The sequence below is a fragment of the Homo sapiens genome, chromosome 2 (genome assembly GCF_000001405.40).
Source record: "Homo sapiens chromosome 2, GRCh38.p14 Primary Assembly".
In the NCBI taxonomy this organism is placed as follows: domain Eukaryota; kingdom Metazoa; phylum Chordata; class Mammalia; order Primates; family Hominidae; genus Homo; species Homo sapiens.
The window spans coordinates 238,007,383-238,034,687 of record NC_000002.12 but is presented as its reverse complement, the minus strand read 5'-3'; the positions used below and the strand labels follow the sequence as shown (position 1 = coordinate 238,034,687).

The 27,305-nt window shown below is 44.3% G+C and overlaps 1 protein-coding gene, 1 long non-coding RNA gene and 1 pseudogene across 9 annotated transcripts in view, besides 2 other annotated features; 1 reads left to right on the top strand and 2 right to left on the bottom strand.

The window, feature by feature from the left end:
- UBE2F-SCLY (UBE2F-SCLY readthrough (NMD candidate)) overlaps positions 1 to 27,305 on the bottom strand; it is a 132,469-nt gene that overhangs the window by 64,726 nt on the left and 40,438 nt on the right. Inside the window, exons 5-6 of the long non-coding RNA NR_037904.1 lie at positions 4,075 to 4,132; positions 2,434 to 2,466 (exon numbers count right to left, since the gene is read on the bottom strand). This is a non-coding gene — a long non-coding RNA (UBE2F-SCLY readthrough (NMD candidate)). The remainder of the gene's footprint in view (positions 1 to 2,433; positions 2,467 to 4,074; positions 4,133 to 27,305) is intronic.
- UBE2F (ubiquitin conjugating enzyme E2 F (putative)) overlaps positions 1 to 27,305 on the bottom strand; it is a 75,769-nt gene that overhangs the window by 8,095 nt on the left and 40,369 nt on the right. For 6 of the 8 annotated variants that reach the window (NR_103500.2, NM_080678.3, NM_001278308.2 and 3 more), the window contains 4 exons: positions 18,055 to 18,122; positions 9,276 to 9,346; positions 4,075 to 4,132; positions 2,434 to 2,466 (listed from right to left, as the gene is read on the bottom strand). Coding sequence is in view for 5 of the 8 variants with exons in the window: in NM_080678.3 (NP_542409.1) it covers positions 2,434 to 2,466; positions 4,075 to 4,132; positions 9,276 to 9,346; positions 18,055 to 18,122 (230 nt within the window). In the remaining 3 variants the exon portion in view is untranslated. The remainder of the gene's footprint in view (positions 1 to 2,433; positions 2,467 to 4,074; positions 4,133 to 9,275; positions 9,347 to 18,054; positions 18,123 to 27,305) is intronic. The other 2 variants (NR_103498.2, NR_103499.2) reach the window with 2 other exon arrangements.
- Positions 1,744 to 1,939: a silencer, noted in NCBI's record as "fragment chr2:238941390-238941585 (GRCh37/hg19 assembly coordinates)". NCBI's record gives its function as "represses an EF-1alpha promoter that drives an FKBP-Casp9 reporter gene in an ReSE screen in K562 erythroleukemia cells {active_cell/tissue: K562}" and the evidence as "EXISTENCE:reporter gene assay evidence [ECO:0000049][PMID:32094911]".
- Positions 5,625 to 5,717, top strand: RNU6-1333P (RNA, U6 small nuclear 1333, pseudogene; annotated as a pseudogene).
- Positions 5,977 to 6,590: an enhancer, noted in NCBI's record as "H3K27ac-H3K4me1 hESC enhancer chr2:238936739-238937352 (GRCh37/hg19 assembly coordinates)". NCBI's record gives its function as "activates a minimal SCP1, AML or CMV promoter by ChIP-STARR-seq in naive H9 embryonic stem cells {active_cell/tissue: H9 hESC(naive)}" and the evidence as "EXISTENCE:reporter gene assay evidence [ECO:0000049][PMID:30033119]".

Sequence of the window (27,305 nt, the reverse complement as noted above, 5' to 3'; positions counted from 1 at the left end):
ACAGTTGGAAAATCAGATTCCAAGTCCTAGAAAAAGGCAAAAATATAAAGTACATATTAGATAAAGACTGTTATCAGACACACAGAATTTCTTATCTTCTTTACTATATGTTAGACCTAAGATAAATGAGTTGATCAGAATAACCATTACAGACTTAATTAGCAATTTTGATTGGCTCTTTTAGAATTTACTTAGAGCACTGAGAGATGGGGAGCTAGTGTGGCTGTAGCAGATTTCTTAAAAAAAAATTTTTTTTTTTGAGACGGATTTTCGCTCTTGTTGCCCAGCCTGGAATGCAATGGCGTGATCTCGGCTCACTGCAACCTCCACCTCTTGGATTCAAGCGATTCTCCTGCCTCAGCCTGCCAAGTAGCTGGGATTACAGGCGCCCGCCACCACGCCTGGCTAATTTTTTTTTTTTTTAGTAGAGGTGAGATTTCACCATATTGTCTAGGCTGGTCTCCAATTTCTGACCTCAGGTGATCTGCTGGCCTCAGCGCCTCCTAAAGTGCTGGGAGTACAGGCGTGAGTCACTGCGCCTAGCCAACAATTTTTTTTTTAAGTCCAAGGAGCCAGTGTTTCTTTCCTCCCATTAATTCCCCTGCAGCAAGTTGCCAGTTAAAACCTATTCAGAGCCAAGGAGCCTGGGACAGACATGGTGGGCTCCAGAAAAAAATTATGGTGGCTGATGACAATGACGGCATATGGGCCCCTAGAAGGGCCTGAGTTCACAGCTTTGGCTCTCTCAATCAAATCTGGAGATGCCAAGGCTCAATATTACAATGCAGCACAACTGCCAGACAGATTTCAAATTAGGCTCCAGAAATAAAACTTCATTCACTTCAATGAAAAAGCCAAAGACAGAAGCAGAACAAAGTGGCTAAGACCAGCAGAAACTGTCAAGTCCAGGTGTCCATCAGGTATGACCTCCCATGGAGATTCAGGGAGATCCTGAAATCACTGGAAGTGCTTGATTTCTCTGCTTGTGTGATAGACATTCACCAGCTAACATCTGACAGAAAGACAAAAGGTGGGCAGGGACTCAGTTTAGTTTGAGGCTCTGCTTTTGCTGAAGATAAGAACACTGTGCCCTCAGATGACAGGACAAGTAAGAGCAGACCCGCCCCTAGTTTAACTGAGTCCTGCAGGTGCCTCTGCTGTAGGCAACAGCTAGTGACCCACATGACACCTGGCCAGGAGGATGCTCATAAAACAGCCCACTGGCCTGGGTGGACCATCCAAGATCATAGAGGCACCTTAGGTTTTATCAAAAGTAGCAAAAACTATTTTTTCACAAACAGATCTCTGAAGCTTATTTCTTTAAAAGCGCCTTTATGAATCGAAAAGTAAAAATTCAAAGGAACGTATAATATCGTATAAAAAAAATCCAACCAACAGCTTTTGGCTGAGTCCATTTAGCCTCTTCCTGCCCTAGGGCCATTGTCTGAGAAATGCTATTTCCTGAGAACAGCAAACTTCAGCAGCTCATCACTGACAAAAAGACAACAACTCTGAGGTTCTGGACTCATGAAAAGCCCTCAAGGCTGGGTAACCACAAAATCATCCACCCCAACCAGAACACCTGGGAGGTGACAGGGCCACTCCCTGGGCTGGCTAGTGTAGCCACAGGCACAGAAGTGGACTGGGCCAAGTGACCCCAGAGTAACAGCCACCCTGCTGGAAGGGGCTAAGGGAAGTGGAACCAGCCTCATCCCCTAGAAACCGGGGTCAGCCACCTCAGCAGGGCAGAAGTGAGACTGCTGTGGCCCCTGCCCCAGACAACCTCCCCACATGTCACTCCAAAGTCCCCTCATTCCCCACCTCACTGTTCTACTTCTGACTCATAAAAGAGCAATAGAAAAAAGGGGTAACTATGTAACTGTTTGCACGGTGGGCTATTTTTTAATTTATTATTTTTTTTTAGAGACAGGTCTTGCTATGTTGCCCAGGCTGGTCTTGAATTCATGGGCTCAAGTGATCCACCTGCCTCAGTCTCCCAACGTGCTAGGATTACAGGTGTGAGCCACCATGCCCAGCCAGCATGTTTTTGGGGGGTTTTTGTGTGTATCTGTTTTTTGAGGCAGAGTCTCTGTCGCCCAGGCTGGAGTACAGTGGTGCAATCTCAGCTCACTGCAACCTCTGCCTCCTGGGCTCAAGCAATTCTCCCACCTCAGCCTTCCAAGCAGCTGGGACTACAGACATGTGCCACTATGCCCAACTAATTTTTCTATTTTTTGTAGAGATGGGGTTTGGGCCTCCTGGACTCAAGTGGGGATCCACCCAAAGTGCTAGGATTACAGGCGTGAGCCACTGTGCCCAGTCCATGTTTCATTTTTTAACATGGTTTTGTGTTAAAACCATGTCTTAACGCAATGTCTAAAACCAGCAACAAGGAAATTGAGAATAACTTGGGATTTTGATCACTGTACTTACAGTAAACAAAGAGTTTAATCCCCAAACGACATCCTGAAATAAAAAAGAAAACAGAAAACAAGTTTTAAGCCAAAGTGCACCTAGTCTTTTAAACCCATGATCAAGAAATATGCTTTGCACTGTATCAAAACCTGTCTTTAGCATGGTTTGTTTTTCTCAAGATAGAAAATTAAAATAACTTCTCTTCAAGTGTAACAACAAACTCTGGAAAATTCAAAGATATGAGCAGTCTCAGGTAGTGAATATAAAATCAAAGATAGCATCAGACACCCTCCCAGTCAGACCTGACAAGCCCAATCCTGCACGACAGGGCCCGCAGGCCAGTGTCTGCATAGGGGCTCCACCTTAAATCACCTCTTACTTGTTACCACCAAATATGGTTCTGACTTCTAAAAAGTCACCTTCAAAATAAAGTCTGTTGTTTTTACATCTACTGCCTCTTGCGGTCGTAGATAAGTTAATTACCCCTCATCCTATTAAGTTTTCTTAATGATTTTGCATTAGTTATTTAAAGAATCATAGAAGATTCACAATTCAAGGATCAGAGATTTTCATTAAATAAAACTGAAAGCCAGAGTTGTTCTATCTGTACTGACCTGCCATCTGTGAATCACAAATTCATTCTCCATTTTCCTCTTCATCAACTCAAGAGTTTCGTCCTTTTTAGGCCTGTTCTCATGCTCCTCCCCTACTTTTTGCTAGTTGGTAATTTTATTTGCCTTTCTCTGTTTTCTCTAGTCCATCAATCCATCCACCCACCCATCCCTGACCTTCCGATGTGAGCCAGGCCTAGGGTTGGAGTGTGGGTGAAGGTGAGCCCTCAGCCTGAGGAAGGGGGATGTACAGATGGGCAGGTCAGCAGGCCAGCACTGTTCATGAGACGTGTTCCCCAGAGCACCCACCCTGGGAGGAGAGGCTCCAGAGGCAATGACAGCCATCTGAGCCCCAGGGGAGCAGGAGTCTGCCAGGGAGAGGGCTGGAGGAGAGGGCCGCCTTCCAGGTAGAGGCACGACCTGCAGAGGGAAAGTTCTGAGAGGGCAGGACATTTCTAGAGCGTGGGGAGAGGCTAAGAAAAGGCTGGGTGGGCTGCCCATGGTGGCAGAGACTACAGCTCGGAGGAGCTGGGTCAGGACTGCATGCAGTCTGCAGTGTTCCCTTATGCAGGGCCAGGGCCAAAAGCCCCTTCCTGTGCTGTTCCCCTAGGGTCCCTGCCTGATGTTAGGTACCCAACACCTGACAGTCTTCTCTGGCCATAGGGAGTGGTTTGCACATCAATTTGCTGCTCCTCCTCCAACACCTAGTGGCCAGAAAAGCTCAAGACATCCCTGTTGAATGAATGATGGCCATGAGGTTTCCTATGTGGCGGGTGGTTTGGCTGTGAAGCCTGCAGTTTGGGCTCCTATCTCTGGTTCTAGAATGGTGCCTGGCAAAGTCAACAAGGATGCTCATCCGGCCCAAACTGACCGAGGTCAGTGACTGGCTAAGTAGCCTAGGCAGCAGGGAGAAGAGGAGGCAGGGTGTGTCCGGCCACTGGTGTGGATGTGACAGGCAAGGACATGTGCTGCTTTCTCGGGAGGCTGGCTACTGCAGGGAGAGGACCACAGGGACAACTTATGATCAAGATCAAGGCACAGACTCTACCTTTAATGTTCTTGTGGGAGCCCAGCCAGTGCCATCAATTGAATGTTCTCTCAATAAACTGAAAAAGACAAACACACAGTGGTTAGTGAGGAGCAGCCACAGGTGCCCTGCACGCTGCCAACTAGTCCTCTCGGTGTGTGCCATGCAGGAGCTCTACTTTTTATTAAACCCATCTTTTCCTCTGTGGCTTCTCAGTTTTCTCTTGCTGAGGAAGGCATTTCCACCTCCAAGGTTATATACATATTCAATTATAACGTCTTGTGTTATGTTTATCTATTTGTTGTAATACTTGACATGGAAGTTTTAGGCTGAGGAAGAGCATGTTTAAAACAACACACAAAGAACATTTGTCAATTTAATATTCAGAAAATGACAATGGTGGCTGGGTATGGTGGCTCATGCCTGTAATCTCAGCATTCTGGGAGGCCGAGGCAAGGTGGGAAGATAGCTTGGGTCCAGGAGTTTGAGACCAGCCTGGGCAACACAGTGATACCCTGTCTCTACTAAAAATTAAAAATTAGCCAGGCATAGTGGTGCACGCCTGTACTCCCAAAGGTGGAGGACTGCTTGAGTCCAGAAGTTCAAGGCTGCAGTGAGCTGTGATGGCGCCCCTGTACTCCAGCCTGGGAATAGTGTGAGGCCCTGTCTCAAAAAAAAAAAAAGAAAGAAAGAAAGAAAATGACAATGGCAACAAAATGACAACATGACAACAGGAGTAACTGAAGCTTAGAGCTTATTATGTGTATGTCAGGCACAATCCTAGGTGCTGTGCCATTAAATTCACTTAATGCCTATAACCACCCGTGAAGAGAGCATCCCTGTTTCCCTGTCTTATACAGGAGGAAACCAAGGCACAGAGAAGACACGCCCAAGGGCACACGCCTCATGAACAATGTTGTTCTTCCAACCCAGGCAGCTCACGGGCACCGACATTCTGAAACACTGCTGATGCAGGTTAACAACAATGGGAGCTCCCAGCATATGACATTTTAATAACTGGGTTTTTTTTTTTTTTTTTGAGACGGAGTCTCTCTCTGTCTCCCAGGCTGGAGTGCAGTGGCACGATCTCGGCTCACTGTAAGCTCCACCTCTCCGGTTTTACGCCATTCTCCTGCCTCAGCCTCCTGAGTAGCTGGGACTACAAGGCATGCACCACCTACGCCCGGCTAATTTTGTTTTTTGAATTTTTAGTAGAGACGGGGTTTCACCGTGTTAACCAGGATGGTCTCGATCTCCTGACCTCGTGATCCGCCCGCCTCGGCCTCCCAAAGTGCTGGGATTACAGGCGTGAGCCACCACGCCCAGCCGTAACTGGGTTTTTTTTTTTATTTTTTTAAAGTTCAAAAGAAAAAGCTTGAGGATAAAAGATTAATGCAAAATTCTGAGTATCAATCACTCCTTAGGTGGGGGGCCCATGCTCAGGGAAGGCACACCAGGATTCAGAGGTCTGATGAAGCCCTGTTTCTGAAGCTGGTACCTGAGAGTCCTGGTCATTACTGTCTATCAGCTGTAAAGGCACACCATATACTCTCATGGAAATGATCATTCCAGTGCTCACTTCCGCAGCACATATGCTCAAATTGGGATGATACAGAGAAGATTAGCATTTTCCCAATAATCTTAAAAAGTAAAAAAAAAATTTTAAATAATTTTAAAAGGATTAAATGATCATTCCATACTTTGAAAAAAGTATAATTTATTGCCAAGCTTCCTTCTGGAGATAAAATTACTTTTGTATTTGTTGAATTATTGTGCTGTGGCTTTGATCTGTAAATAAAATATCAGGCTTTATCCATAATTGTTACCTCTGATAAACTTTTTTGAATTAGAGCATGTTTAAATTCACAAAAGTCAATTCAGATCAGGAGAAAAATATGTAGAGTTTGAATCAAAGCTATAATCTTAATTGTCTGTGAAGAGCAGTTAAAAAAAACAGATAACTAACCTTAAATTGACCATTAAAATTTACTTTTAGCCTTAAAAAGAAAAAAGGAAAACTCAAATCATGTATCCTACCAACTGGGTGGACGTCTTTCTACCCTACAGAGGTATTGGTGACTTGTGGATCTGAATTGTCAACTTCTGAATAACTTTTTTGGGAATGAAGTCAAATCCTAGTGGCTATATTTTGTTGAATGGAGGAATTATTTCTGATCTAGCTAATCATTTTCTTATATAGATCTTAATGCAACCTTCAGTTATATATTTGTCATTTATTTGTTGAATGCCTGTTTCATCCATAAAAGCAGGGAATGCTAATTCCTCTGCCAGTGCCTAAGCTCAATCAACATTAGCTGAATGAAGGAGAAGGAAGCTCACCCTGAGCTTTGCTGTTAACAGCACAGCCAGAGCAGGAGGGCTTTGCATCTGGCTGGGGCAGGTAATGGGGAGGCAAGGCCGGCCCCAGCATGTGGTGGCCACTGGTCTGGGCAGCAGTGAGGCCCATCAGGGGTGCAGTGCCTCCAGTCACTGAGGAAGTTCTAGCCTGGCCTCACAGAGGATAGTCCCAGCAACAGCTCAGGAGACAGAGACACTTGGCTATCAGAGATGTCATTAAGCAAGGAGACAAAGGACACCCCACGAACTGTAATAGAAGCTTGGACTCTAGGAGAAGCTTTGACTGAGCTCTTGACCTAGGCCCTCCAATCCCACAGACATGGAGCCTCTGACCTTGTGCCAGAGCAGGCGAAGGGTCCCTGCCGGGACAACAAGGTGGAGCCAGGGCAAATCTCTCTAAAAGAGGAAGGTGCTCCTGTGTGCCAGCACTGAAAGGCCTGTGGAGCCCCAGGCACCCATCAGTCCTGCTGTGGGAAGGGCTGATGAGCTGCTGTCAGCGTCACCACAAACCAGAGGTGCGGTTGGGCTTTTCCTTCCCTTTATTCGGGACACACCATAAAGCTGCCACTGGACACTGTCTGCTTTTCACTAACAAGGTGGTCCCCGTACATCAATCTGGCACATTATTTCCTTAGATTAAATCCCTAGAAGTGCAGCTGACAAGTCCAAGGGTACATACGAGTTACAGGTAGTCTACGTGGCTGAAGGACCAATGAAAGGTGTGCAAATACACACACCCTCCAACAAGAGAGCCTGCTCGCTCTCTGTCACACACTCCTCCCCCAGCCACCAAGTATCTACCTTTGTGCCTGCCAATCTGGTGAGTGGTAAGCCACACTTCATGGTCTTCTGCGCCTTTCTCTGGTTACTGATGAGAGTGAACATCTCCTCAGATATTTACTGCCCACCTCTATTTCTCCTTTTATGAATCACCTATTTGTAGCCAATGCCACATTTTTCCAGAGAAGTATCCGTCTTTTTTATAATGAATAGTAAGGACTATTTACATACCAAGGATGTTAATCCAGTTGATCATTTCTTCTTCCATTTTGTGTTTTTAATTTTTACATGGTCAAATCTGACAATCTTTTTCCTTAAGACGTCTGGCTTTTATATCAGGATACCATCTGTTCATCCTTATAAGGCTTTGCTAATCATCTGACTTCCCAGAAGACGGCAAAAGGGACAAGAGAGCTTCCTATTCTGGACCCATTTCTGACTAAGGCAGGGACAAGACAGGGAAGTAGAGTATGGCCCCCCAGAAAGTGAGCCAGGTGTCCTCACAAGCACAGGAGGAAGCGGGGCAGTGGGGGCCTGGGCCAAACACATTTATAACCTGCAACCAAAGATAGTGGAATTTTAATGTTTCAATACGTAAAGGACAGATACTTCAAAGGGAAGATGCTTTTTTAAAAAGGTATGTCTGGTAAAATGTATTTTTAACCATCTGTGAAAAACGAGGCTGATATTGAAGAAGGAGCAGTATATACAAAAATGAAATGGGCAAATGGGCACTAACTGTACTTGTGAAGAGAAAGGCATCCGGCCCGGCGCGGTGGCTCACACCTGTAACCCCAGCACTCTAGGAGGCCGAGGCGGGCAGATCACAAGGTCAGGAGATTGAGACCATCCTGGCTAACACAGTGAAACCCAGTCTCTACTAAAAAATACAAAAATTAGCCGGGCGTAGTGGTAGGCGCCTGTAGTCCCAGCTACTCGGGACGCTGAGGCAGGAGAATGGCGTGAACCTGGGAGGCGGAGCTTGCAGTGAGCTCAGATCGCGCCACTGCACTCCAGCCTGGGCAACAAAGCGAGACTCCATCTCAAAAAAAAAGAGAAAGGGATCCTGAGGTAAGATTTCCAGCAGCCACAGTTTACACATTTCCTTTCAAAGGTGATTAGTGTTTACTAAGGAGAGAGGAATGAAAGAAAAGAGATACGGAAGTTGAGCATGAGAAATGACTTAGGCCACTAATTGCATTTCATGTCAAAAGTAGGAGAAATGTGCTAAGAAAACACTTTGTGCCTACTTTCCAAACTGGCTGAGTGTGAGGCACATACAGTTCAAATACCTAGCCTAAAGTCCCACAGCTGCCCCGGGCAGCCGGGCAGGGGTGGGGGCGGGGGCGGCGAGCTGGACTCAGGTCCAGGTGGTCTGATATCAAAGCCCCTGCAATCAACCTTGCTGCCTTAAAGTGATGAAAGGGACAAAGTGCAGAAAAAATAAAGCCCAAATGTGAAACTTACTTTAAAAACCAACCAATCCACCTACACAACTTTTCCAGCAGCCTTAGGAGGAGAAATCACTGATGCCTGACGTTCTGCCCATGCCAGGGATCAGGGACACAAGTCACAGCAGGCATGAAGCTCCGAGAGGCTGCCTGCCCTAAGTGCCCTGACATCTATCAGGACCATTTTGGTAGAGAGAGGGCAGCTTAAATACAAGTGCCCAAGGTCGTCTCAAGCCTGCCATCTACATTTTTTCTCCTGGGTATCTATCATTAATCATATTTTCTCATCTTAGCTAAAATCAGCCACATGGAGGGAATGTGGTCTCTCATGTAAATAGGAGGGGAACAAGGCAAGGGACTCCAAGGGTCCATCCTGGGCAGGCAAGGAGGCTGCACTAAGAACTTAGTAGGGCTGTGGCCCCCAGAGGGCCAAGAGAAGACACTCGTCTGGAGGCAGAAGGTAGGGTAGGGTTTGGGAGCAGGCAGGCAACCGCAGCTACTTCAGCTGAGTTCAAGCCCTTCCTAATCTTGGCCATGCCTCAAAATCTTTTCAGAGGAGACAACATGTTTAAAAGCCCAACGCTTGCACATGACACTCACGAATGTAGAAGAAAGAAAAGACAATAAACTCACCTCAGACATATTTCCCCTGTCTCTGTGATGTTGGGGTGCCAGATCTTGGTCAGGCATTTCACTTTGGGAGGCTGCAACACAGAGACAATGAGAGAGATCACGCCGACAGTCTCTGCAAATCACATCTCCAGGCCAGAGCCTTACCACATCCCCTATCTAGACGCTTGTTTCATGGCTGACTCAGTGTGCAGTTTGACTCGCTGAACACGTGTTCAACCCTGAATACTGGCTCACCTCACCCATGAGGCATGTGTTGATGCGCTGCATCCACAAGGGCTAGTCTCAGCAGCAAAGTCTACCCGTGGGCTTCTGAGCACCTCTCTACAAGCCCCATGTGTCCTGCCGGCTGACAGTGCTGGTGACTGGACCTCTGTCACCTCCCACACCCCCTGGGTTTGGGACTGCAGAAGGTATCCACAGTGCACTCTAAGGAATAGTTCTACATCCTCTGGGTCCAAATCCAATCAGAAGCCCCAGATTCCTTTGCAATACAAGTTACTATGGCTGAAAGTTACTGCTCCTTGCAAGAACAGCCTGTTCCATTTGCTGGATTTTTCTGAAGATGCTATTGTCACATACGTTTTCCTAGATGAAAGCCCTAGTCCACTTTACATTTAAAGGAGAGAAAGAGAATGAAAATGAATTTGTGGGGATAAAGTATATCAACATCATTTATGACTTGGCATGTTTGGATAAAGTTCTTTTAAGATTTTTCTAGTTTGGGCATGGTGGCTCACTTTGGGAGGCCACCTAAAAGAAGAAAATATAATTAATGATAGATACCCAGGAGAAAAAAATCTCAGCACTTTGGGAGGTCGAGGTGGGAGGATTGCTTGAGGCCAAGGGTTTAAGATTAGCCAGGGCAATATAGTAAGACCCTGTCTCTCCAGGGAAAAAAAAAGAGCTGGGCATGGTAGCTCCTGCTTGTAGTCCCAGCTACTCAGGAGGCTGAGGTGGGAAAATCACTTGAGCTCAGAAGTTGTAGGCTGCAGTGAGCTATGATCGCACCATTGTACTCCAGCCTGGGTGACAGAGCGAGTCCCTGCCTCCAAACCAGAAAACCAAACCAAACCAAACCAAACAGATTTCTCTGTTACAAAGGCAATCCATACTCAGAGAGAAAAGGACAACACAAATGAAAAGAAACATACGTAAATATCTAATAAATTCTGCTGTCTTTCACTTTTGTTTTTTATGTAAGAATATATACACTCCATCAAAATGCTACCCAGAAATTATGTGACACCTGATGTACATGTGTTTATGCCTCTTTTCTAGGCCACACACATAGTGTGCATGCAGCATACTCATTTTTCTTTATAGAAGAAAGCTGTGCTACATATGTTTTAGTTATTTCTGCCATCGTTTCAGATGGCATCCTGCATTCCATGGTACACCTGCCCGAGTTTAATAGGCACTTCCCTACCTCTGGGCCCTCAGGTTGCTTCCTCTTCTCCCAACCCTGCTCTATCAATGCAGGGTTCATCCTGGGTGAAATGTTTCCTCAGGATGAAGCCCAGGAAGAGGATCTGCTGGTCATAAACCCTAGCTTCTGATACACTGCTCATGTCCTTCAGAAGATGTGACACCCCGCCCGCCAACCCCACCACAACCTGCAGTAAGGGAGAGGGCCTCTTCTCCAGGACCTCCCACAGAAAGGTCCCCTTGGTTAATATGCAGAAGTGTCAAATCACAGGATCTCATCAGAAAGGTCATCTCAAAAAGGAATCAAACCTTTGTGAAATGGGTAACATTTTCCCTGTGTATCATCTGCTATTAACTTTTATTTATGATGCTTTCTGAGGAGTTTATTTTTGTAATCAAATTTTTATCTTTGATGCCATACTTAGAAAATACTTCACCATCCAAATATCCTCTTTAACTTTCTAGTAAACTTTTATAGTTTCATCTTTTTATTTATTTGTATAAAGCAAAAATACTTTTTCGACACTATAATGAGCATTCTTCCTAATTTCAAAATACCACAAAATCAGTAGATTCCAAAAAACTGATTAAACTGACTGTGCAAATCCATGTGTCTGAGGACAAAGAATTTAGGTTCAGAATGAGTTTAAATAAATTTCACATTGTGCTTTTCTACAAATAAATGGGAATGTATTTAATAGAAAGGAGGAACTGCATCTTTCCCTTCTACTGAGGCATTTGGGCTGCAGAGGGAAGGTCAGACTGCCATGAGGGGCAGGGCTCTGTGCCCCCTTCTGGGTCACTGGATGGTGGCAGGCTAGTGCTAGGCCAAGTCACCAACTCTCAGTTTTTGTAGGAACCTAGAAAATTGGCAAACTCACTCTCCCTCCCAAGCAGGTACCCCTTCTGCGGAGGCCCTCACACATGACCATGCAGCCTGGTGCTACCACATCTCCCAAAGGCTTGCGGGTATTCGCCCTTCCTCCTGTCCCCTTCACACCTTCCATAATTTGATGTTAACACAGATACCTCCTTTTGTCAACGGTCCTCTTAACTGTGGTTCCAGAACAGAGGGCAAAACTCTGCACCTGGCTTCTGACATACATACTTTCCAAACTGAATTAGGCCTGTAGCCCCTTCCCCCCAACCCCAGTGGCCCACAGCTAGACCAACAAGCAATGCCCAGCCCTCCCACATTCCCCCTCAGTGCTTGGCACGGCCACCATCACTCACCCTGCCAGAAGCCTAATGTATGACAAATCTGGCCTCTCAAACCAACAGAGAACTGGGTTATTTGGTGGGTCACTGGCTACCCATTTGGAAAAACACAGTGTTCCAAATGCATTAAAATTAAACATAAAAGAGAATTATAGGACTAGAAGAAAATGTAGATGACCATCTTGGGGTCTGAAGGCTGCTTTAAGCATATCATAACATACAAAACTCAAGCAGTGAAACAAAAAAACCAAACTTGTATAGAACAACGACTAAAGACGGCAAATGCAAAACAAAGAAAGTATTTACAGCATAGCTAAAAAACTGAAGAAAAAAGTTTCACATACTTTGCTTGTAAGGACTCTAGTAAATCTAGAAGAAAAACAAATATCCCCAATGGAAACATGGGCAAAGGACATAATAGCAGCTCATAAAAAATATAAACAGCTTATTAGTGGGAAATACTATTCAGCATCCGACTTAAGAAATGAAAATATAATGCTTGAATCCAGGAGGTGGAGGTTACAGTGAGCTGAGACTGTGCCACCGGACTCCAGCCTGGGGGACAGAGCAAGACTCTGTCTCCAAAAAAAAAAAGAAAAGAAAAGAAAAGAAAAAGAAATGACAATCGGATATTAAACGAGATACCATTTCCTCCCAAAATGGCAACAACAACAACAAAAAGGCAAATATTCTACCTTGGTAATTGCTTAGGGAAACGGAATTTTCAAACATGGATGGTGAGGATGCCAACTGGCATTCCTCTCTGCAAGGTAATTTAATAGGATTTATCCAGAACCTTAAAATGGAGCATCAATTACTCAATACCCATAATGCCATGTCTAGGAACTGATCCAGAGGAAAGAGGCAGACAGACATAAGATGCATGCCCCAGACTTACCTCACAGCCCTATTTATTCTGGGGCAGCAGACCACAGCCTACAGACCAAATCGAGGCTGGGACTGTTTTCACATGGTCAAAGACTGGTTTTTACATTTCTAAAAGGTTATTGAAAAAACAAAAAAGAATATGGGACAGAGACTATGTGGTCCACAGAGCCTAAAATATTTATTGCTTAGCCCTTTACAGAAAGTCTGCTTTATACTGCAAAAGGTTGGTCAACCAGTGACCAATGATAAAGGACTGGTTTAAATGATACATCATACAAGGAAGTGCTCTTATTAATAATGATGCAATTGTGCATTGACTGACATGAATGTGTACGTCCATCATATTATGACGGGAAAGCCCCAAGTTACCAGACTATGTGTAGCATCGCCCCATTGGTATGTGGAATTTATACTGTCTGCAACAGACATTAGAGAGTCAGGGTGATCATCTCTGGATGGAGAGATTACAGGTTATTATTATTCTATTTTTGCATGGCCGTGTTGTCTCAATTCCCTACAAAGTCTGATAATTTCATATGAAGAAGAAGGGAGAGTGGGAGTTCAGGTGTCACTTGTGGTCGTCATCACTGCTGTTCAACAAGTGTCTCTGGCTCTCCTCCTCCAGGGCCCATGGCAGGACTGGCCTTCCTTAGTCCCTCCGGGCTGGCCATGGTCATGTTATCTGATTTGGCCAACAACATGTGAGGAGACGTGGTGTCTTCACTTCCAGGAGGAAACCAGAGCCAAGAACAAAGAGCTGTAATCCTTTCTCCTGCTACAGCACACAGCTTCCTCCAACCAGTCCTGACCGACGCACCTGAGGGCTGTGTGACACCACAGGCCAGCTAGGGTCTGGGCTAAGGCTCTCTCCTCCTCCAAGGCATCCCCAGGCCATGTCACGTGCTCCTCCTCTGGGCGTCCCCACCAGCCTGAGGAATAGCCGTCACCCACATCACCACCCGGGCTCCTCATTGTCATGTCAGCGTCTGTCTCCCCAGAGACTGAAATTCTTAAAAGGCCACCAAGTTCCCATCCTTGGCCCTCCAGTGTCTGACACGGAGCCTGGCACAATGTAGGAGCCCACTAAATGTCACTACATCCGTTTGGACAGTTTCTAAACTGACAAATTACAAGGCAGGCTTTAGGCTGGGAGTTAAACTGCAGAGGCAAAGGAACAAAAACACAAAGAAAATTTGAATTTTGGCTGCTGGGATATTGGGTGGGGTGGGGGATTCCAAATGGACATTTTTCTTTTAAAAGTTTATTCTAAAATAACGATCGACTTTATTAAAGGTTTTCCACATTCACAGTCTTAATAACAGACCTTCACTGCAGGAACTGTAACTCTTAGGAGACAAGTCCTTATGAAGTACAGAAATTGTGTCAAGTCAGTCATGGCAGTGAAGCAGATGCACCCTGAGAAGCCCCAGCCCATCCCTAGGCTCCGCACTGGCTGCTGTATCCGTTCTCACTGACCCACCTGGTGCCCTCAGAGTGTGCCCTCACACTCTATCCTGAATGCCTGTGCCTATGTGATTTTCCTATGCTGACTGAATTATTTCATCTCTTTTCTACACTAAGTTTGTAGGGGGCAGAGAGAGGGGCAACCACTGAACAATTTGTGTTTTTGCCTAGCATGGCAGGCACAAGCTACACACCGGAAATAGTGTGGGCAAGACAGCTGGCACTCCCTCAGGGCTCACAGCCCAGTGGGAAAGAGATGCTCAGGAGAGTCTGTAAGCAATGATTCATTATAAATATGGCAAATGCAACTACTTTTGTGTTCAGCCAAGTACTACACCCTAATGATCCCCTGGAGACGCCCTGCTGGGGACACCAGTGACATATGCTGGCCCCTAGAAGTTGCCCCACACTTGCCTGAATGAGAGGCAGACAGGAAGAAAACAAGAGAAGGGAACAGGAGGCTGGGTTCAGTGGCTCATGGCTGGAATCCCAGTACTATGGGAGGCCAAGGCAGCGGATCACCTGAGGTCAGGAGTTCGAGACCAACCCGGCCAACATGGTGAAACCCCGTCTCTACTAAAACTACAAAAATTAGCCGGGTGTGGTGGCAGGCACCTGTAATCCCAGCTACTCCGGAGGCTGAGGCAGGAGAATTACTTGAATCCAGGTGGCAGAGGTTGCGGTGAGCTGAGATCATGCCATTGCACTCCAGCCTGGGTGACAAGAGTGAAACTCCATCTCATTAAAAAAAAAAAAAAAAAAAGGCTGAGCACAGTGGCTCCCCAGCACTTTGGGAGGCCGTGGCGGGCAGATCACCTGAGGTCGAGAGTTTGAGACCAGCCTGACCAACATGGAGAAACTCCGTCTCTACTAAAAATACAAAATTAGCTGGGCGTGGTGGTACATGCGTGTAATCCCAGCTCCTCAGGAGGTTGAGGCAGGACAATCACTTGAACCCGCAGGCAGAGGTTGTGGTGAGCTGAAATCGTGCTAGCCTGGGCAACAGAGTGAGACTCTGTATCAAAAAAAAGGCAGGGGGGACAGGAAGGAAACGCTGGGGAAAGGAGAGGAAAGGACCCTACAGAAGCAGGGTAGGAACATGGTTCATGCAGAGCCACCAGCTGCTCTCAGTACTTCTGGGTTTGAGAACATGGGGTTTTATTCCTGATGAAATCTGACCAGCCCATCATTTATGAAACTTCCAAAAGAGACAGCAGTGGAAATAGAAAAATGTAAGATCATCGTTACAGAGCTAAAGGTCAAACACAGCACACAGAACTTCAGAAAGGCTGCATGGGAATGATGTTTCCCCACAGGGACTAGTAGTGGGGAGGGGAGAGGGGGGCTGGGGAATAGCAGGTCTGAGACAAGGACAGGAAAATTTAAGCCTTACCCCTCCACCTCAACCTCTGTGCCAGTCTCAAACTAATAAGGGAAACTAATAAGGGAAACAAGTCTTCAAGGCTCAGTGGCTTTCAAGTCATTCTTTATTCCATTTTCCTTCCTATTTCTTGAAGTCACAAATGGGACAAGACAGTATGACAAACATTTTCTCACCACCTGATGTGGTAGGAAGGGCACACGCTTAAAAGCTGGGCAGCCCTGGACATTAAGTGACTTCAACAATTCAGCCGTCTCCATTGGCAAAGCTAATGTTTTTAACTTTAGCTTTCAGAACCCAAACTTCCTAATGTATAAAGATATGAATGTTAAGATCACCCACTGACAGGAGGCTAGGGCAGGAGAATTGCTTGAACCCGGGAGCTGGTGGTTGCAGTGAGCTGAGATCACGCCACAGCACTCCAGGCTGGGGAACAGAGCAAGACTCCGTCTCTAAATAAATAAATAAATAAATAACCCACTGAACCATCAGAAGAATGAAATAAAGTAATGTGAGTCAAGACACCTGGCACACAGAGGCTCTCAATCATGCCCATTCCTTCCCTGGTATTTTCTCTTAGTTTGCTTTCTTCCTATAGTGAAAACAAGGAGCTCTGCTCCTAGATGATGCCAGATATACCTGAAACAATGGTTCTCTGATGCCTCACGACTTGTCTGGAAAGTTTATCAGCTTAGACTTAACTCCCTGCTATGACATCCAGAACGGTATGTCATAAGTATTTAGCAGCAAATCTAAATACAGAATTTTAAATACTGTATGCCTGTTTGTTTCCAGAAACCACCAAAGAGTCCCCAAATTCTAAACATCTGTACTGAAACCAAGCCTCTGGAACCACCTCCCACCGGACATGGTGCAGTGCTCCGTCGCCAGGTTTCTCAGTGTGGTTTGGGAAGGATGGAAAGTCTCAGCAGGTGGTGGATGGACAAAGACTGGAAATGTGTATTTTCCCATCTTTGTCTACAAATTTAAAAATTTCTTGGGCTGCCAACTCTTCCCTATCCCCATAAATTACATTTCAAAAAGAACCTTAAATGGAGTAGTCCGGTAAAAAGTCAATTTCCATAGATGAAGGTTTGCTTCTAAAACAAGTGTTGCAGCCACTGAACGGAGCCCAGTGGCTGGGGTTGGGGGGCAACTCCACTCGTCAGGCAGTGGGAGCACACTTCCCACAAGCGAAGTCACAGGAACAGTGTCCCCAATGCCCACATCCTCATGATGGGAGTGAGGCTTCCTTTTCTCTGGCAGCACCATCAGCTTGTGCTTTCCTACTGGACGGGCCAAGAGGGTTAGTTAGAACACGTGAGTAGGAATACATATCCATGGTGCACGCCAGTAAGACAAGCATGCTGAACTGCCTGTACGTCAACCCCTGGCAATTTGGGCCGAGACACATCACACCCGTCCCTGAAGCGCAGCCACACCTCCTCTAATACCCCAACTTGGGGGTGTGGAATTATTCAGACTCTCCAGTGGTTTGTCACTGCCAAATCGAAAATGCCCAACCAAACCCCCACATCTGAGTTTTCCCATTTTTTCCTCTATTCTTCCCCAACTCCAATTCTTCACTCGAGTTGACCTGGCCCTATCTGCCTTCTGCAGGTTGCAAGTTCTCATGTCCACACCTGTCACCACAGTTCATCATGTTTCCATGTCACCTAGAATACCCTCCCCTGGTTCTGGGCCACATCGGGGTGACTCCAGTTAGATTTCCCCCTAAAAGCTTAACTAGCCCTGACCACTTTCCAAAGTGATGATTACTTTCCCTTCTCTGAATTCTCAAAAACTAGTTTCCTATCATTGATGAGTATCACTACTGTCCTCTACTTACCATTTTTATCGCTTTATCAACTTTCTACACTTTATCTCTCCTAATTGGTCTGTAAGTTCCACCAAAGCAAAGACATAATGTAATGGTATTTGGTATAATTATTGTCTAAAAGGATCTTTGAGGGATTAACATGAAACTATAGGTATAAATTACTTATAGTTTAAACTACAAGTCACTGTTCTCTGAAATTCTAAAATACACATTTTATAGACTTCTGGAATTTTGGTGTTATATCATGAACAAAACTACAGTCATTTTATTAAATGCTTTTTTTCTTCAGTGCCAGACTGTAACAGATAAGAGTTATAGAAAATACACAGGCAGGCTGCCTGGCACATAGTACTCATAAGTATTTGCTGAATAAACGGAATTCTCTACTAACACTCTAAATACTGCTGATGAGTGACATTCATCACAAAAATACTGAAGTGAGTACTCAGTCACACATGGACACACGCAGAGGGGAGTGCTAGGGCCCTGTGCCAGTGGCGGGCCACAGCCACAGGCAGCCCCGCCCGAGAAGTAAAACAACAGGCTCAACGCAGGCTACTCACCACCATGTTGTACGCATCGGGAACTTCAGTTTCAAACTGAAATTTTCCACCCTGGTAGTAACCCTCATCTATCAAAAAACACAAAACAAAACAAAAAAATCCTTTAAATTAAAAAAAAAAGGAAACAAAAAGCAAACACTCTGTTAGGATATGGCAAATACAGAGAATCAGGAGTTTAAAAACAGGCCTGCAGAGTTCCTCGGTTCCATCACCAAATGCACACACACTGGTGGAAGTCCTGCCCCTGCCTGAACAGAAATGGGCTCCATGCTGTCACCTGCCTGTCTGTCTTCTCAGGGGGCTGAGCACACCCTCAGGGAAGGGAAGGGACATCCTTCTGGGGCCATCTGCCTGGCCTCCTTGCATCCTACCATGTTCCTGGAACCTACAACCCTCCGAACACATCTCATGCCTTAAGTGACTTCTTTATCTGCTTACTGCTGGTCTCCCCAAGAGAATGTCAATTGGAGGACACAAGACTAACAGTCACCAACAAACCCTTACTGAGCACCCAACCTCTGCTGGGCATGGTTCTAGGCCTTGGGGACACAGCAGTGAACCTGACAGAATCACTGCCTCAGTGATTGCTTGATGCAGCCTTCAGAACAGAGCAGGCCTTCTAGAAACGCGGGCTGGTAGGCACGAAGGAGGAAGCCCAGGGTCTGAGCATCACCACATTGCCATCCACATGCTGTGTACCCCCACTCCCTCTTTACCCCGCCCCCCACACCCTGTAGACCCCACAGGGCAGTCCCTCTCCTCAGGTGGTACCCAGCCTGGGGTCACTAAGTGGCTGCTGGTGCCAGCAGAGGGCACTTCAGCATGAATGAGCTTGGAAAAGCCACTGGAAATAAATTATTCTCAATTTTCAAATTTGACAGAATTAGCACCATTTTAAAATTAAAATTCAACTTCCCCTAAAATATTTATCATCATGAACAAACCAGTAATATTAAATCTTATCATTTTCCTCAAATTTTTATATGAAATGAATGCATAACAGCAAGTTGTTAGCCTCAAACAAGTCATCATTAAAAAAAAATTCCATTCCTTAAGAGTTGAGACCGTATCAACATTTATGTCATCTAGTAGTTAAAACTGGCATTACCTGGACCCTAACATTTTTTTTCTTTGCCAATTTGATAGAAGAGAAATACCAGTTCTCTTTTATTTTACATTCTCTGATGAATACTAGTGAGGCTAAAATTTATATGATTATTGGTCATTTAGGTTTTTCTTTTAAGAACTGAATGATCAATGTTCTGAAACTCTCCTTTTATTACTGAGGTATTCATCTTTTAATTACCAATACAAAAATCTCTTAATTAGCCTTTGCTTTTTAAATAGGCTACAAGCAATTTTTCTTAGTCTGCTGTTTGCATTTTGATTTTGTGGTTTCTGAACACTAGTTTTCCATTTTTAAGAAGCTAATCTTTCTTTAGGGTTTCTGTCTTTGGGGTCATGCTTAGAAAAGGCCTTTCCCAACCAAGATTATATCAATATCCTCTTATATTTTCTTCTAGTAATTTAATGGTTTCATAGATTACATTTAATCAGCTCATTCATTCATCAACTGATTGCAGACTAAGGTCGTATTTTTTTTCCTAACTGGTTGCTTAATCACCCCAACGGCGTTTATTATTCTAGCCTTCCTCCACTTACTTGAGATGCGTATTTCTAGTTTTTATAAATACACTTGGATTTCTGACTGGCAGTATAAAGTCTCTGGCAAAGATACTTGTTTGGGGAAATTTTTAACTCCAGATATAAGAACTTTTCAAATAAGTGGCATCTTAGATATAAAATACTCAGAGTACATATCCTTGTTCATCAAAGCATGTGTGGATGTTGGTGTCTTACATGTATTGTGATATTGACCACTGTGGCACAACACAGAAATCCAATGCCAGGCTTAACATTACAAACCACGCAGTCCACTCTGTGAACTGTTACACAGCTTTTGGATGATGCTGCTTCACCCGCGCTGTCCTTTTCCTTTCCCTTAGGAATGATTACTACCCATGCGAGACACCCTGGTCGTGGCTGTGCTCTGGCCATTCCATCCTGCCATGCTATATTTTTTCTCTAGTTGGCTTTCCAGTTCATGGATTACAGAGTTTCAACTCTATTGCCTACCACTTTCAAAGATGTTATTTGGTCTAATATGATTATCACTTCACCTTATTCCCTCTGCTCCAGTCAAGTTCTTCCTTAATAATTATTAGGATTATATCTTCTCTTAACTCATTAAAAAGTGAGAACAGACTGTTTTATTTTTTTCTCTTTCATGAAACAAATCTCTCTCAGGAAAATGATCTGCTCCTGCATCAGTACTTCTTTTTCCCTCTTTGAAGTTGCACAGTTTTTAGACCTGATCCAAATCTGCTTATTTATTATTGTTAATTTGCCCAGAAATTCCACAGTCCAACTTAAAAAGCAGCTTGGGAGCAGACTGGACTGAGATGAAACCCAAGAGCATCTCTTATTTACAAGGTTTCCTTCACGATGTCCCCAGCTTAAGAGTTCAGATTCACCTTCTACACCTGGCTCTGGGAGTACCTGGCCCAAGGCGGAGACGGTTCAAGGAAGGCCTGCTCACTTCCACAGCCGGCAGGTAGTGGACTCATTGAGAATGTCTGTAACTACACGTGCACCGTGGCCCACAGCACAGTACACAAGTCCAGGACAGGCCAATTCTATGTTACTATCGTCCATGGCTGCTGGGACTGAAAACACATTTCTCAGACAACTAGGTTTTAAAATACAATAATGAAATGCAACTGAGGGAAGTTCCTGGCACTCAGCTCTCAATCAGCCAGCCTGGCCCCTGCCCCACTGTTACAATTAGAGGAATTATCCTCCTCTTTCCTTGTGCTTTAGAGCCCACTCCTCACTACCTTTGAGGAACCATACTCCAGTGTCTTCAAGATTACCGAGAGCCCTGGGAAAACAAACCTTTTGAAGGGGTATGTCGCCTCAAATCACTGTGACAGAATCCATTTCTAGATTCTAGATGGCCGACATCCACATATGCTCTGTCTGGTAACAAATCTGTGGACAACGCCCTTGAGGCCAAGGAGTCATGCCAGCTCTCTGTCCCACCTCCTCTTCTACAACCTTCTTCCCCCCTGCAAAAAAAGGCCTACCTCCCATCTCCCCCTGTACTAGAATGAACTGTCTCAAGGAGTGGACATTCCCAGGGGACAAAAGTACCCGTGACGCACTGATAAGGGTAAAGCCACCTCAAAGCGACACATTAAGGTAGGGTTGTGCTTTTCCCTATATTTGCTTTTTCCCCCACCACTGTGTCTCCATTCGCTTTTCCCTATCTATAACCATTTCTTTCTTTCTTTTTTTAAATTATTTATTTATTTTTGAGACAGAGTCTCATTCAATTGCTCAGGCTGGGGTGCACAGCTCACTGCAGCCTCGAACTCCAGGGCTCAGGTGATCCTCCCACCTCAACCACCCAAGTAGCTGGGACTACAGGTGTGTGCCACCACGCCCAGCTAGTTTTTTTGTAGAGATGGGGTCTCACCATGCTGCCCACGCTGGTCTCAAACTCCTGACCACAAGCGATCTGCCCATCTTGGCCTCCCCAAAGTGCTGGGATTACAGGCATGAGCCACCACACCTGGCCTATACCCATTTCTGTAAAGGACAAAGCATGGTATTATAAATAGTATGTCCTGGTTCACGCTGGAGTGTCTTGGGTTCAGACACTGTGGAGTCTGATGGCAGGGATGATGAAAACTTCATTTAGTAACTTCAAACCCTAGACCACTGTAAAAGCAGGCATTACCCCTTTGAGAGCCAACAAAAGAGGATGCCAAGAAACAACAGCCATGGTGCCTTCCTCCACCTAGGGCACCAGTTCCACGTCTCACCTATCTAACTAGGAACCTCCAGGAGCTCAGAGTGAGATGGCTGTCAGAGGCATATTGTTAGAATGAAAATGAAGTAAGACTTTTGCCTGAGGGAAAGAGTGATTTCGCAGACTAGTTTGACAATTAATGTATATGGCAGATAGTTTTGATAAACTGAATGGGCTGAATCTGGAGCTCCAAGCTTTGGGTGAAAATAGGAAGAATGTAATAAGATTTTTAAAAATACTACATTGGTATACATATTAGCATGTGGAAATTAATAATACTGCTGTTTCTCTCAACTCTTCCTCAGCATTTCCAGCAAAAGCCTGCAAAGCTGCTCTGAAGTGAGGAGTGACAGATGTAACTATTCAGGGTAGAAAAGCATTTGATGTCCCTGCAGCTGACAGGGATTGGTAAAGTGATTCTGGTGGACACTTCAGAAACTGAAGCAAAGGACTCCAATGACTGAGTGACAAAGCCTTCTCCAAGTCAGGTGGCTTCCAATTCTCTACTTTCAACAAAATGGAAGAAGGAATCTAATCTAACAGTCAGTGGAAAAATCATGAAAATACTTTATATGACGACAGGCAAGGTGACTCGTGCCTGTAATCCCAGCACTTTGTGGGGCCAAGGCAGGTGGCTTGCTTGAGTTCAAGAGTTTGAGACCAGCCTGAGCAACATGGCAAAACCCCATCTCCACAGAAAAAAAAAAAAAAAAAATTGCCAGGTGTGGTGGTGTGTGCCTGTAGTCCCAGCTACTTAGGAGGCTGAGGTGGGAGGATTGCTTGAGCCTGGAAATTTGAGGCTGCAGTGAGCCATGACTGCACCACTTCACTCCAGCCTGGGCAACAGAGTGAGACCCTGTCTCAAAAAAAAGAAAATACTTTGTACAATCTTTGGCCTTTAACTTTGAAGTCCAAAGACAAAATGGCACAGCCATAACAAGACACTTTCCATGCCCATCTAATCTACTTATTTATGTGAACAAGCAGTCCTGAGTGTTTATATCTATAAAGACAAAATAATGGAAGAAAACTGGTATCAGACCTTTGTTTCTAGCATAAAATAATATTCATTCACAAATGCATCAATTTAATCAGGGAAAATGCTAATAGTAACCCCATCATTTTCAGAGATACACTGCAAGTGAAATGTTTAATTATCATCAAAATTTGCTTAAATTCATTATTCATTACACAAATAGTTGATGAGTGCCCACCATGTGCCACACACAGTTCTAGGCCCTGGTGACACATCAACAAGAGATAATTCCCGCCCTTATGAAGCGTATATTCTAGTGGAAGGGAGAGAAAATACATAAATTATATAATAGAAGGAGTAGAAAGTGGGAAGAGGCTGCAGTTTTAAGCAGGGAGGTCAGAGAAAATGATGAATTGAAGGAGGAGGGTACTGGGGTGAAGGACACTCCAGGCAGATGAAACAGGGTGGGTACGGTAAGAGGCCTAGTATGTTCCGTGAACCCTGCAGAAGCCAATGTGGTCAGAGAGTGAGGTGGAGGAAGAGGACCTGAGCCCAAAGAGGGAGCAGATGCAAAGGGTGTTGGGCCCTGCAGGCCCCTGCATGTAGCTGGCTCTGATTCAGAGTGAGATGCGGCCATGAAAGGGGTCTGAGTAGGGGAGGCACAGGAGCATATAAATGGATCGCAGAGCAGGAGCCCAGTTGTGGTTATCTGTTGTAATCATCCAGGTGAGAGATGGTAATGGTTAGGATCAGGGTGGGAGCAGGTGAAGTAGACAGATTTTGAAGGCAGCAACACCAGAATTTGCTGACAGATTAGGCACGGAGGGAGGAGAGAAGGAGTCAAAGAAGATCTTTGACCTTGCAATGGAAATGGCAGAGTTGCTACCATGAAGATAAAAGGACTGCAGATGGCACAACTGTGTGAAGTTCAAATCAGACACATTAACTTGAGATTTCAAGTTGGCATCCCAGTGGAGGTGTTGAGTGGGCAGCTGACAGATCATTCTTGAGTACTGGGAGAGGTTGGATAGAGAGGGCAGTTTGGGAGCCATTCAGGGTAAAGCATTCTGATGTCACAAGATAGCCAGGACACCAGGGAACTGACTATACAGGTCCAAAGACAGGGTGAAGCCTTGAGGTTCCCCCACTTTGAGGGGCTGGAAGATGAGGCAGAGGACAGGCAGCCAGAGACAAAGGAGGAAAAACCAGAAGCAGGAGCCTGTACAAATAACAACTGCAACAATCGTTCAAAAGCAAATGTTTAACACCTAAGAGTCTTACAGTTATAGGAACTTTTCAAATAGTGAGCTCTGGGCCGGGCACGGTGGCTCACGCCTGTAATCCCAGCACTTTGGGAGGCCAAGGCAGGCGGATCACAAGGTCAAGAGTTCGAGACCAGCCTGGCCAACATGGTGAAACCCGTCTATACTAAGAATACAAAAATCAGTCGGGCATAGTGGCGGGTACTTGTATTCCCAGCTACTTGGGAGGCTGAGGCAGAAGAACTACTTGAACCCGGGAGGCAGAGGTTGCAGTGAGCCAAGATTGTGCCACTGCACTCCAGCCTGGGCAATAAAGCAAGACTCTGTATCGAAAAAAAAACCAAATAAATAAAGCTCAATCTATCTATCTACCTGTATATCTAGTTACAGAAGAGTATAAAAAAATGACAAATAAAATACTTAAAAGCATAAAAATGTTTACATTAGGGTGCAATTCAAGGGAACAAGTGGAATGAAAACATGAGTGCCAGGAGAAAAACTAGCAAAGGTTTTCCAGCCAGTGAAGTAGAGCTTATTCACATCAAAATAAACAAAAAAACAAAAAAACAAAAAACTGTGATGATGGGAGTATCTGTGGTGGTGGGCATATCTGTGGTATTTATATTCTACACTGGAAACATTTCAAAGAGTAATATAAGACTTTCATTTTTAAATGTCAATATTTACAGCACCCTGGAAGTGACATCCTATGCAAACTTTAAACTTAAAAGGCTCTGATCCATCTCAGATCAGACTGTTGAAAGAGAAGAGACAGAGACAGATGGTGGAGAAGAGGAAGTGAGTGTGAGCGGAGGCAGGAGGCAGCACAGACATGGGCACCAGGGAGTGGCCAGGACTCTGGGATGCAGGGCTGCAGACAAAGGCACAATGACAGCTATTGTATAGAGATGCTGAGACTTAGAGGAAAACATGAACATAATGAGGAAAGAAATGGACGGTTACGGGGAAAGCACCAAATGGAACGTCAACAGCTAGAAAATACAGTATCTGAAATGAAAAATTCACTGGATGCGCTTAACAGCAAATGAGACATTGCAGAAAAACAAACTGTCCAAAATGAGGCACAGAAAGAAAAGTGAACGAAGACCTGCGACCCAATGGAGGTATAATTTACACGTAGAAGTAATCTATATGTAAGACATATATGATATAGATATATAAACTAGAGTGCCAGAAAACGATCACAGAAAAATATTTAAAGAAATGTTGGCCAAATTATTTCTAAATTGGATGAAAACTATAACTCACAGATCCAAAAAGCTTAATAAACCCCAAGTGTGATAAAAAGAAAAAACCACTTCAAAGCACATTATAATCAAACTGCTGAAAGCAGTGATAAGGAGAAAATCTTAAAAGCAGCCAGAGAATAAAATGCACATCGCATAAAGTGGAACAAAGAATCACCACTAACTTGTAAGGAAAAAATACAGAAGGCAGTAGAATGATATCCTTAAAATGCTGAAACTGTCAACTTAAGAATTCAAACTTCAGCAACACTTGACAGAATTCATCACAAGCAAATCTGCACTACAAAAAAATCTTCAAGGATGTTCTTTAGGCAGAAGGAAAATAACAGAGAGGAGAAATCTAGATCTACAAAAGGGAATGAGGGTCATAAATGTTAAGTATGTGGAGACATATATTTTAAAAACAGACTGTAAAGCACAGATAATATATTCTGGGTTACAACATATGTAAAAGTAAAACAAATGAGAACTATAATATAAAGGTTGAGCTGGGAAATGGAAACATACTACTGTTTGTCTAAGCTTCCATCTTAAACATCAGAAAAAGAAGAGCAAATTAAACTGGAAATAAAGAGGAGGGAAATAACAAAGACATGAACAAAATTCAAAAAACAACAGGGCAAAATCAATGAACCTAAAAGTAGGTTCTTTGCAAAGGTCAAAAAATTGACAATCTTCTCATTAACCTGATCAAGAGAAAAAGACAAAAATTACAACATCAGTAATTAAAGAGGAGATACAACACAAACTCTACAGAACTTAAAAGGATAGGATAAGATGATACTAAGAACATTATATCAATAAATTGAAAAATGCAGATGATATGAGCAAATCCCTTGAAGGACACAAATTAGTGAAGCCCACTCAAGAATAACCTAGGCAGCCCTATATCTATTAGAAATTGTGTTTATACTTAAAATCTTACCACAACAAAACAAAATTCCAGAGACAGGTGGCTTCACAGGTGAATTCTACCACTGAATAAAGAATTAATAGGCCAGGCACAGTGGCTCACACCTGTAATCTCAGCACTTTGGGAGGATCACTTGAGCCCAAGGGTTCGAGACCAGCCTGGGCAACATAGTGAGACCCCCGTCTCTACAAAAAATAATTAGCTGGACATGGTAGTGCATCTGCCCACTACAGACGATGGGCATCTGTAGTCCCAGTTACCTGGGAGCCTGAGGCGGGAGGACTGCTTGAGCCCAGGATGTTGAGGCTGCAGTGAGGCGTGATCGTGCCACTGTGCTTCAGCCTGGGCAAGAGAGTAAGACCTTGTCTAAAAAAAAATCAATTAACTAATTAATACTAATTTTACACAAACTCTTCCAGAGAATAGGACACTCCCCAAATGCATTCAAAGACCAGAATGCATTACCTTGACACCAAAATTAGGCAACTCATTACAAAAAAAACTACAAATATCCCTCACAGACAGGTAAGGATTTGTAAAAATTCTTAACAAAATACTAATATATCAAACTGAGCAATATATGAAACCATTAACACATAATACATGATGAATTATGGTTTATCTCACAAATGCAGCTTTGGTTCAACATTTGAAAAATAATCTATTAATGTAATTTACCTTATCAACAGACCAAAACAGAAAAACCATTATGATCACCTCAGTAGATGCAGAAAAAGCATTTGGCAAATTAAGCATCCATTCATTATTGGCCATTTTTGGTTTGGGAGGAAAAAAGCATCCATTCATGATTAAAAAAAAAATACATACATACATATACATATATATGTATATATGCAAACAAGAAGTAGAAAAGAACTTCTCAACCTGATAAAGGGCATCTGCAAAAACCCTATAGCAAGGCCGGACTCAGTGGCTCACGCCTGTAATCCCAGCACTT